Consider the following 12,730-nt stretch of genomic DNA (forward strand, 5'->3'; position numbering starts at 1 on the left):
ACAATATAGTGGAAGATGTAATAGTGGAAGTGTGGACCCTAAGTTTCTATACTGTGTGATTTTTAGTCTCTTAGAACTCATGAAACATCATTCCGTTGTTTTTAAAGAATGGGAAGGCAAATCAGGGTGTCATCTGGTCTCAGTTCTCTTTGAAAGTCCAGGGGAGATATTTTATTCCTTGCTACGATGTCAAAAGAATTAAAAAGTAGCTACTCTATAGAAAAATAAATGTACATCCTGATATTAAGTGAACTTCAAATGTTTTAAACTATAAATTATACAATTGAGAGTAATAACAGTGCTGATAGTACTCCACAAACATGGCGAACATTCCAAAAACCCGCCAGACTTTCTGTACGAAGTGTGCAAGCACCAACCCCAGAAAATGACACGGTACAAGAAGAGCAAGGATTTTCTGTATGCCCAGGGAAAGCAGCGTTATGACAGGAAGCAGAGTGGCTATGGTGGGCAGACTAAGCCAATTTTCCAGAAAAAGACTAAAACTACAAAGAAGATTGGGCCAAGGCTTGAGTGCATAGAGCCCAACTGCCGATCTAAGAGAATGCTGGCTATTAAATGATGCAAGTATTTTGAACTGGGAGGAGATAAGGAGAGAAAGGGCCAAGTAATCCAGTTCTGCCATCATCTTTTGTTTTATTATGAAGAAAATAAAATGTTGAATTTGTATTTAAAAAGAGAAAGTAATAACAGTTAAGAAACTATATAATTTTAGAAAATTATTCCACAAGATATAGATTTATATATTCCATTTTATTTTTCTAGGAGTCATTTATAAACCTAGTGTCTCTTCATTTTTTTATGTCTAGTTTTGACTTTAACACTGGCTTAATCATATTCATGAGTAGCTGTCATTCATTAGGCAGGTACTTCTGAAGCAATGCAAATTCAAAGTAGAGGATTGGTAAAAATCAGAGAATGCTTTATAAAGTTCTCTCTGCAGTTTAAAGAACTGAAGGTCAGAAGACTAAATGATATTTCAGAGTCACACAGCATGTAACTAGAATTGTTCTCTTCTGATGTCAACCTTAGTACATGTCATATTATGAGAATACACACTTAAATTCCATGATCCCAAAAGAAAAAGTTTTCAGAAACCACTTAAAAATCTCCTCCATTTACACTGAAAAACAAAAAGACATAAATCTGAGTAAAGCTCAAATTTTAACTGCTCCAATGCAACTGGAAAATGTTTATAGAATTTTTGCATTTTTAACTATTTTACAGAAATTGCTACAACAGGAATATATTTGAAACAGGAAGAGAGTTTACTGGATTTTTTTCCAACAGCTTTATTGGGATGTGATTCATATACCATAAAATGTATCATTTTAAAGTTGATAATTCAGTGTTGTTATTAGATTTTAATAGTTACTGGTAAATTGCAATATTGCACGTGGTTTTAAAATGCTGCAAATATTTTTAAAAAACGAGAAGGAAAGCAGAACTCTGGGTGATGAATATATGCAGTAAAGAGATTCTCAGTTATTGAGAGAAGTTGTATATTCATAGAGGAGATGGACAGTTTCAGATTAAGTACTTATATATCTCAATGTCCTAAAAAATGAGAAGATGCTTATGATATAATGATAATGACAAACAACTTTATATAAAGAAATATTTTTAAAAACTGGAATGCCTTTGTTTAAATATTAACAAGGCCTATTTCTCAGCTGTAAGAACAAAAGGGTTTTAGATATTTTTTCAACTTTGCTATATTTTCTACATTGATCCACACCTTTTAATAATCAGAAAAAAAATACTAAAATGTGCGGTCCCGTCAGTCTTACAAAAAAAATTACTTTGTTTTCATTTTCCTTCCACTCGCCATGTAAACCTTTTCAAAAACAGAATTATGTAATATATCATAATTTCACCTTGTTCGGAAAGATGCAGTAACTAGACAGAAATTGAAAGGCCATGGCCTTCACAATGATGCCACTTTCCATTTGCAAATGTGTCCCCTAGTTGTTCTTCCAGTGATTTAGCTCTTAGCTTCAAACAATTTTAACATTGTTCTCTGACTGAACAAATCCAATAAACTCTATACTATAAATATTTTTTTCAGGTATCCCTCCCTCATCTACCTTCCACCTATTTGCCCAGGTTCAATCCTCACTTTAGCTTCAAGATCCAATCTCGTCTTTTCCTTCCCTATCTAAGCACGTCCATATAACATTCTCTCTTCTCTGAATCCCTGTAGTATTTGTGTCTATATCTCTTATTTTGGCACTAAATTAGGTAGAATAACTTTGCACTGTTTTTTAAGTCCTGCATTCACTCTGTGTCATTTCTTCACTTGACCATAAGCAATTTAAAAGTTTGAATTCATCCTTTTCATTAACAGGTATATATCTATGTAGAGATACTCAATAAGAACTTGTTGATTTAATCAGTGGGTATGAGTTAATTAATTTTAGAAGTATCATAACTGGTACATGGGGAGAAAAGAGAAAGCTATACTGGGGGGAAAAAATCTGGAGGAAGACCCCCAGGGACTAATAAAGCTTTGGGTGATTAGATGGCCACATTTACAAAACAAAATCAAAAGAGAAGAATACATATACCAATGAAAACTAGGTTTTTAAAAATGTATCCACCAGTAAGCGTCCACGAACTGGATTTTTAACCAGAAGAAAGTCCAAGGAAAAAAGTGGGCAGAGAGAAGAGAACAGGAGTGTTAAGTACTATTAACCAAAGTCAAACCAAAACTCAATGCCCACGTCCTTTCGATCAAAAGTAAGATAATCAACTAGTAGAGATGAATCAGGCAAATAATGGAAGTGCTCTGAGAATACTTTTAGAGCGGTGAAGGTTCAATAATAATTGTGGGGCCTCTAATTACTAAAAGACTTGGGGCTAAAGCAGAAGATCCTGTCACTGAAAACTTGTATATGGTGCAGAAATTCAATTATGGGGACCACAGCAGCAAGGCCAGAATGTCAAGTAATACATTCAATATCCTCCCAAACTAGAGCCAAAATTTATTTAGAAGGTTTAGGTTGAAGCTTAGACTGCAGTTGGGGAACAAGTAGAGCTAGTTTCTATGACAGGACTGGAGAAATATTAAAACCATTAGAGAGAGCTCTCACCGGCCAATTTTAAATGGACAAATTTATCTTGTTTCTACATTCTGTAGCAAATGTTTTGGTGTTTTCCTTTGCCGCACTCTCTAATATCTGAATCTAAAGTAGAATAGCGCAGTATCTAAAAACAGTTGGAATTAATTCATTCTGAGAAAAGCATCTTGAGAGATTTTCCTATAGTATATTCTTAGATTTGGAGATTTTTCCAAATTCCTGTTTTTGCTAAAATAGAATATTTTGTTGTCACTCTAATTCTGAAAGTAATTCATAGTCTTCTAATGCATTTCTTTTTGTGAAGGTACCTAGATTTGGACAAATTTGAAACAATATCACCAATTCATGTGTAATCCTAACACACAATGTCAAATAAGTCCATTATTACCAGTGTTTAGATTTATATGTTTGTGTGACTAGACAATATTATTAATTTTTGTCAAATGCCATTTCTAATTTTGTATTAGAGGATAGTAGTAAACATTAACTTTGTACGCCAGTTATTCTGAACAGTATTTTTTTCATATAAATGTGTTTTATATCTGTGTCTTTGTGCTTAAAAATGCTTTACACACAGTGAGACTTTGATAAATGATTTTTTGAATTAATGTGTTTCTTCACAGTTATTATTAAATACTTCACCTTTCCATTGAATCCAGTCATAATTTATGTTTCTGAGAATTTAAATAATGCAGGGACTTTTAATTTAAAAAGTGTGACTCATCCACTGAAGAGTTATGAATATACTCTCAAAGCAAAATGTTAGTCATATTTAAAAAGAAAATTATATGTGAGGTGCTGAAAATAATCTAAAAACTGATTATCAAAAATTAGACTGCCAGTTAGAAACTTTGATGGCAAAGTCCATATGCACAATATATATGCTTGTTCACCTGAAAGGAAGTGCCAATGATGTGGGTCTTCCACATTCAGAGGTGTGCCTCCTGTACACACACTCACTCTCCTGCCTTCAGTTCCTTAGTTTAAGAACAGGGAACTGTGAGTAGCAGCACTCTGGCTGATATTAATTGCCATGACCAGGGAAAGAGGCAATTTATCGGATAACTGGGTCCCAAGCCATACAGGGCCTTAGAGATTAAAATGATCACCTTGAATTGCACTCAGAAGCTAAAAGGCAATCAGCGCAGACAGCAGAGCACAGGTGTAACCTGCTTCCTGTAGCCAATCTAGTTAAGCAAGCGGACCACAGCATTTTCAGGGTCTGAAGCTTCGGATGCTTCCGAGTGGTCTCTGAAGTGTTGTTCCACACAAAGCTTGGAGCTTGAATTGAATACAAATTTTTCATGTGTTTCAGGATTTCTCCTGGAAGAAATGATTTTTAAAGAGAAAACTAATGAAATAGACTCCATAGAATTTGTTAAAATCAAAGGGCACTAGTAAAATAAAATGTGCTCTTGAAATGATGAGCAAGGAGTTTTTAAAAATTAGGCCCAACACATCTGTAAGTTCTTTTAATATTCACGCTCCCTTCTCAAACTGGAAAATCACTGGAGACATTCATGTGCTGACTATTTCCACCCAGAGTTCATCCTCACTTTTTAACGTAGGAAATACTATTTACTATCACAATTGAAGTCAGAGCTAAACAAACTCATTTAATAATGAAAGCATGTGGAAAGGCTTCCACAAGGGCATGGGGTCCTTCTAATATCCAGGGGTCAGTGTAAGAATCACATTGGATAAACACCAGAGAATGGCTCATGGTTTAAGTATCAGGTTCGACATTTTGAGACTCCTTTGGACATTTGGTTTAAATTCCCTTGTGGTTAGGACAGACTTTCAGTGGTAGATAAACTCAATTTTTGCAATGAACTGTGTTTTTCCCTTTATGATTTGCTGTTCTGTGCCTCCCGGCTCTACTTCAGTAGTACAAGAAAGTCCCATATGTACCTGTATCTTTTAGTAACAGCAATAGGAAGAAATGCCAATGTTCTTACCCATCTACCTTCAAGTTGAAACCCACAGACAAGACAAAGTGTTCCACAGAACCGGTTTCTATGCATAGAAAATGAAAGTAGAAAGTTTCATTTTTTATATTCAAAACTATCAACGCAAATGATTTTATTGAAATATGATTTATTTTTCTAGTGCTCCTTAATATTTAATGACATCTAGATATCAAAGAGGAGTTCCTGATTATTTCTTTAAAACTTTAAACTGCAAATTAACATATAATTAATGAAAGTAGGAGCAACCAATAGTGAAGTACCTACTGTTAGAAGGACTTCTTTCATTTAGTCCTTAGATGATGCAAAGGGTCAAAATTTGCAAAATACAGAAGAAAGATGTAAAACAAACCAGCTACCATAGAATGCTGGTGGCCTGAACATATAAATCTTTGCCAAAAAATGCTTTAGTTATTAACGCTTCTGAAAGAAACTGTCATTATGAAATATCAGAGGTAGAGTCAAGATGCTTGCCAAATTATCATCCTATGTGGTAATTTCCAAGTTACTCAGAAATGACTAAAGATGATTAATATTTGAATCATTATTATCAATAACATATATTTAAATTGTTCTTGTATTTAAATTTTGCAACTTGATTAACTTAACCTAACAATTGGAATTCTTCAAGTACAGTTTACATTAAAATGTAATCTAATACTTATTCACTCTCTTTCACTGCTCTATTAGATTGGTCTTTGATTTCTTACCAGCTTTAGAGCTAAGTGTACTCTTTCCTTAACTTATATTTATCTAGGAGATTTATCTATTTGTCTAGAAGACTTCAGCTTTTTTATAATGCTGTCATGACAAAAGCTTAAACTTAGGGGAAAGAAAACAATTTTCTGTGGGTCTTTTCTCATTGACTAATAAGAGCCAGCAGAGAGAAATGAAAATATTAAGGTTCGGGCTTTCTTCAATAATCTTAAATAAGAAAAAAATATGTACAATGAAAAATGACATTTTCAGTGGTATACAAAGTTCTATAGAATTTCTAACTACTTAGTCACTTGATTTTAAATTTTATTAATGTAATACCATATGGATTAATACGCTAAAGCTGGTAAGAGTTTAAATGTTTTAATAAATTGAAGCTCATTGTGAATGCCTGTGTTGAGATTATGTGGAAAAATAGTCAACAGTACTAACCAGAGAAATAAAAATAAAAACCACGATGAGATGGCACCTCACCCCAGATAGAATGGCTATTAGCAAAAAGACCAAAAAAAAAAAAAAAATGTTGGCAAGGATGTGGAAAAAAAAGGGAACTCTTGTACATTGTTGGTGGGAATGTAAATTAGTAAAGGCATTATTATGGAAACAGCATCAAAGTTCCTTAAAAAATTAAAAATAGGGTTATATATCTGTTTTGGTACCAGCACCATGATGTTTTGGTTACTGTAGACTTCTAGTATAGTTTGAAATCAGGTAGCATGATGCCTCCAGCTGTTCTTTTTGCTTAGGATTGTCTTGGCTATACAGGATCTTTTTGGATCCATATAAATTTAAAGTAGTTTTTTCTAATTCTGTGAAGAAAGTCAATGGTAGCTTGCTGGGGATAGCATTGAATCTATAAATTACTTTGGGCAGTGTGGCCATTTTCACGATATTTATTCTTCCTATCCATGAGCATGGAATGTTTTTCCATTTGTTTGTGTCCTTTCTTATTTCCTTGAGCAGTGGTTTGTAGTTTTCCTTGAAGAGGCCCTTCACATCCCTTGTAAGTTGTATTCCTAGGCATTTTATTCTTTTTGTAGCAATTGTGAATGGGGGTCACTCATGATTTGGCTGTTTGTCTATTATTGGTGTGTAGGAATGCTTGTGGTTTTTGCACATTGATTTTGTATCCTGAGACTTTGCTGAAGTTGCTTATCAGCTTAAAGAGATTTTGGGCTAAGACGATGGGGATTTTAAATATACAATCATTTCATCTGCAAACAGAGACAATTTGATTTCCTCTCTTTCTAATTTGAATACCCTTTATTTCTTTCTCTTGCCTGACTGCCCTGGCCAGAACTTCCAGTACTATGTTGGATAGGAGTGGTGAGAGAGGGCATCTTTGTCTTGTGCCAGTTTTCAAAGGGAACGCTTCCAGCTTTTGCCTATTCAGTGTGATAACTGTGGGTTTGTCATAAATAGCTCTTATTATTTTGAGATACGTTCCATCAATACCTAGTTTACTGAGAGTTTTTAGCAAGAAGGGGTGTTGAATTTTATCAAAGGCCTTTTCTGCATCTGTTGAGATAATCAGGTGGTTTTTGTCATTGGTTCTGTTTATGTGATGGATTACATTTATTGATTTGCATATGTTGAACCATCCTTGCATCCCAGAGATGAAGCCAACTTGATTGTAGTGGATAAGCTTTTTGATGTGCTGCTGGATTCAGTTTGCCAGTATTTTATTGAGGATTTTTACATTGATGTTTATGAGGGATACTGGCCTAAAATTTTCTTTTTTTGTTGTGTTTTCCAGGTTTTGGTATCAGGATGATGCTGGCTTCATAAAATGAGTTTTGGAGAAGTCCCTCTTTTTCTATTGCTTGGAATAATTTCAGAAGGAATGGTACCAACTCCTCTTTGTATCTCTGGTAGAATTCAGCTGTGAATCCATCTGATCCTGGGCTTTTTTTTTTTTTTTTTTTTGCTTAATAAGCTATTAATTACTGCCTCAATTTCAGAACTTGTTATTGTTCAACTTCTTCCTGGTTTAGTCTTGGTGTCAATTTTAGATCTTTTCTGCTTTCTCCTGTGGGCATTTAGTGCTATAAATTTCCCTCTAAACACTGTTTTGGCTGTGTCCCAGAGATTCTGGTACATTGTGTTTTTCTTCTCATTGGTTTCAATGAACTCATTTATTTCTGTCTTAATTTCGTTATTTACCCAATAGTCATTCAGGAGCAAGTTGTTCAATTTCCATGTAGTTGTGTGGTTTTGAGTGAGTTTCTCAATCCTGAGTTCTAATTTGATTGCACTGTGGTCTGAGAGACAGTTTGTTATGATTTCCATTCTTTTGCATTTGCTGAGGAGTATTTTAGAATAAGTGCAATGTGGTACTGAGAAAAATGTATATTCTGTTGATTTGGGGTGAGGAGTTCTGTAGATGTCTATTAGGTGCACTTGGTACAGAACTGAGTTCAAGTCCTGAATAGCCTTATTAATTTTCTGTCTCGTTGATCTGTCTAATATTGACCGTGGGGTGATAAAGTCTCTCATTATTACTGCGTGGAAAACAGAGGCCTCAGAAATAATTCAACACATCTACAACCATCTGCTCTTTGACAAACCTGACAAAAACAGGCAATGGGGAAAGGATTCCCTACTTAATAAATGGTGCTGGGAAAACTGGCTAGCCATATGCAGTAAACTGAAACTGGACCCCTTCCTTACATCTTTTACAAAAATTAACTCAAGATGGATTAAAGACTTAAATGTTAAGACCTAAAACCATAAAAACCCTAGAAGGAAACCTAGGCAATACCATTCAGGACATAGGCATGGACAAAGACTTCATGACTAAAACACCAAAAGCAATTGCAACAAAAGCCAATATTGATAAATGGGATATAATTAAACTAAAGAGCTTTTGCACAGCAAAAGAAACTATCATCAGAGTGAACAGGCAACCTACAAAATGGGAGAAAATTTTTGCAATCTATCCATCTGTCAAAGGGCTAGTATCCAGAATCTACAAGAAACTTAAACAAATTTACAAGAAAACAACAAACAACCCCATCAAAAAGTGTGCAAAGGATATGAACAGACACTTATCAAAAGAAGACATTTATGCGGCCAACAAACATGTGAAAAAAGCTGATTATCACTGGTAATTAGAGAAATGCAAATCGAAACCACAATGACACACCATCTCATGCCAGTTAGAAGTACAATCATTAAAAAGTCAGGAAACAACAGATGCTGGCGAGGATGTGGAGAAATAGGAATGCTTTTACACTGTTGGTGGGAGGTGTAAATTAGCTCAACCATTGTGGAAGACAGTGTGGCGATTGATTCCTCAAGGATCTAGAACCAGAAATACCATTTGACCCAGCAATCCCATTACTGGGTATATACCCAAAAGATTATAAATCGTTCTACTATAAAGACACAGGCACACATATGTTTATTGCAGCACTGTTCACAATAGCAAAAACTTGGATCTAAGCCAAATGCCCATCAATGATAGAGTGGTTAAAGAAAATGTGTCACATATACAACATGGAATACAACACAGCCATTAAAAAAGGATGAGTTCATGTCATTTGCAGGGACACAGATGAAGCTAGAAACCATCATTCCCAGCAAACTAATACAGGAACAGAAAACCAAACACCATATGTTCTCACTTATAAGTGGGAGCTGAACAATGAGAACACATGGACACAGGAAGGGGAACATCATATACTGGGGCCTGTCAGGGGTTGGGGGGCTATGGGAGGGAGAGCATCAGGAGAAACACCTAATGTAGATGATAAGTTGATCGGTGCAGCAAACCACCATGGCATGTGTATACCTATGTAACAAACCTGCACATTCCACACATGTATCCCAAAACTTAAAGTATAATTTAAAAATTAAAAATTGAAGTACTGTATAATCCAGCAATTTCTTTCTTTGGCATATATCCAAAGAAAATGAAGTCAGTATGTCGAACAGGTATCTGCACACCCACGTTTATTGCAGAGCTATTCACCATAGTCAAGATATGGAATCAAACTAAATGCACTTCTACAGATTAATGAATAAAGAAACTGTGGTATCTATAATATACAATGGAATACTTTTCAGCCATAAAACAATGAAATAATATTTTCTGTGGCAACAAGAATAAATCTGGAAGACTTTATATGAAGTAAATTAAGCCAAATACAGAAAGACAAAGAATATATGATCTCGCTCATATATAGACTCTAAAAAAAGTTGACTTTATAAAAGTAGAGAGTAGAATAGTGGTTACCACATGCTGAGGAGGGGAGGTTAGAGGCAGGAATTAGGAGAGGTTGGTCAATGGATATAAAGTTACAGTTAGATAGGAAGAAAAGTTTTGGAGTTCTATTAAATATATATAGTGAATACTACACATCATATAGCAAATATCAATGTACTATATATTTCAAGATAGCTAGAAGATATTTATTGTTGCCACTATAAATAAATGATAAATATGTAAAGTGATAGGTATGTTACTTATCCTCATTTGATCAATATGATTTATATTATTGATAATGTAAATCAGTTTTCAGCAGGCATGTGGATATTTAAATATATACAAACATTTAAACATCACATTGTACACCATAAATATGTACAATCACTATTTGTCAACTATAAATTATAAATTTAATTTAAAATTTAATTTTTTAATTAAAAATGTGATGAAGGTAACTGGTCTTACCTTCTTCATTTCTTCTTTTAGAAGAAATAAAGATAATAAACTGTATGTAATGGTCGTGTATGGGCAGAGGAAGATAAGCCAATTAAAACTCATTAGAGGAAAAAGATTTTTCAATGTAGCATCAGAGTGGCATCAGCCACCCAAATTTGTTTAACCAGAACATAATAGAAATAAAGAACAGGCCTTATATATTTTCTTAGAACTTCCTAGCCACATTTTTTGCATTATTTCTCTTCAGAGATTCAGAGAGATCACACTTAACCACGCTTTCCTCATCTTACTATGTCTAGAATAGAATAGTCAGGTGCCACAAGGAAATTCTAGAGCAGTGTTATCCAATAGTACTTTCTGCAATGATACCAATATTCTACACACTCTCCAATATGGTAGCCATGAGTCATGTGTTGCCATTGAGCATGTAAATATGGTTAGTGGGGCTGAGAAACTCAGCTTTTATTATATCTAATAATGAATTTAATTATTATAAGATAAGTAAATGTAAAATAAATTATAAAATGTAAGTAATTTAATTTATATTATTTTATTATAAACCTGAATTGTTTTAGATTTTAATTTGAAAAACCTCACGTGATTCACAGTGTTCATACATAAATAATTTTTATTAGAATGTAGTCATACTCATTTGTTTACATACTATCTATAGCTGTGTTTGTGCTAAACAGCAGAGTCAAATAATTTCTATAGAGACCTTATGATCACAAAACCAATAATATTGCCTGACCCTTTACATAAAAAGTTTGCCAATGTTGCTTTAGAGTATTCTTTTGGTTTTAGTCTGGGAAGGGGTTCCTTGCTACCTGATTGGGATTTATGAGCTTTGTGAAATGGAGAAAACCTCTAGCACAACCCTACCTGACTTAATAGTTTGATTGTAGTCACTGATGTTTCTGGAGGTCCCTTAGTCCTAGAGAAGTATGTTGAAGACCTATTCTTTCCCTAATAAACTATGATGCACACCAACCCTGAGGTCCTCCAGGAGGAAATAGAAAGGTTTGGGTAATTACCGGGCATTGACTCACCAGGAAAATGAAAAACATCTCTCTTCTTTCTCTGCATCTCTATTGAGCACAAAATTCTATAACTATTTGTTGAGTGAATCATATAGATGAGTAAATTAATTTATTTACCCTCAAAAATGCAAATAGGTCAATACTCGTGCTTTCCTCTACTGCTAAAATATTTAATGCTTGTATACAAAGAGGACAGGAATCATGAAAAATATATATAATCATCACATTACCAAATACAGATTCTCATCATTTTCTTCTTTCCAATAATTTGCAATCAGAAAATGTAAAACTTTCTTAAGAAAGTTTATATTACTAACATTTATAATCAAGTGGTACACATGAAGAAATTATGTTCTGGTTAAACAAATTTGGGTGGCTGATGCCAGTCTCATGCCACATTGAAAAATCTTTTTTCTCTACTGAGTTTTAATTGGCTTATATTTCTCTGCCTGTACACAACCATTACATACAGTTTATAATCTTTATTTCTTCTAAGAGAAGTTTGTAAATATTATACTTGAAATATAATTTTAAATCATATCCAGAAGTTATGAAGAATGTGATACCTTTTTAAAAGCAAGAGACCTTGATATCCTTCTTAAAAAGCAATTTGCTTTGTAGAAATGCATACCCAATTCCCAAAACTAGGATTTATTGGTTAAAAAAATGCAAACCAAATGTGTTCCTTGACAAAAAGCTCTGAGTCAATTAAGCTTTTGGTTATTATTATCTGACAAGAAAGTGTTGGACTTTAACTCTTAGCTCTCCTCACAATATACACTGTTCCACATGTTTGAGACTAGACTCATTCTGTCCCATGGATTAGGAACATCCCTTCACCTTTCGTTATCTGGCAAACTCTTACACATCTTCTATGATTAAATTAGACATCACTTTCTTTAAGAAATCTCAGGCTGAGCTGAATGCACAGCCTAGGCACTCCCACAGTATCCCATACATCCCATTCATCTATCAATCATGGACTTATTTATCATATGGAAATTGTCTCTTGATGTATCTGACTCCCCAGTTAGATTTCAAGCTCTTTAAAAGTTCCTTGAAGGCAAGATTCAGTTCTAGCAATTACTTATTCAATATTAAACATTGAAAATTGAAATGAAATGAAAATTGAATTGAATTAAAAATTGAAATCTGTTCAACTCAGTTAAGTCAGAGACAGAAATCAGTTCAAAATCACTGAATGATTATATAAATCAGTTTTCAGTAGGCAGCCCTCCAAAT

General features: G+C 34.0%; 1 pseudogene; it reads left to right on the forward strand.

The window, feature by feature from the left end:
- Positions 301–689, forward strand: RPL36AP23 (ribosomal protein L36a pseudogene 23; annotated as a pseudogene).

The sequence above is a fragment of the Homo sapiens genome, chromosome 4, assembly GCF_000001405.40.
Source record: "Homo sapiens chromosome 4, GRCh38.p14 Primary Assembly".
NCBI lineage: Eukaryota > Metazoa > Chordata > Mammalia > Primates > Hominidae > Homo > Homo sapiens.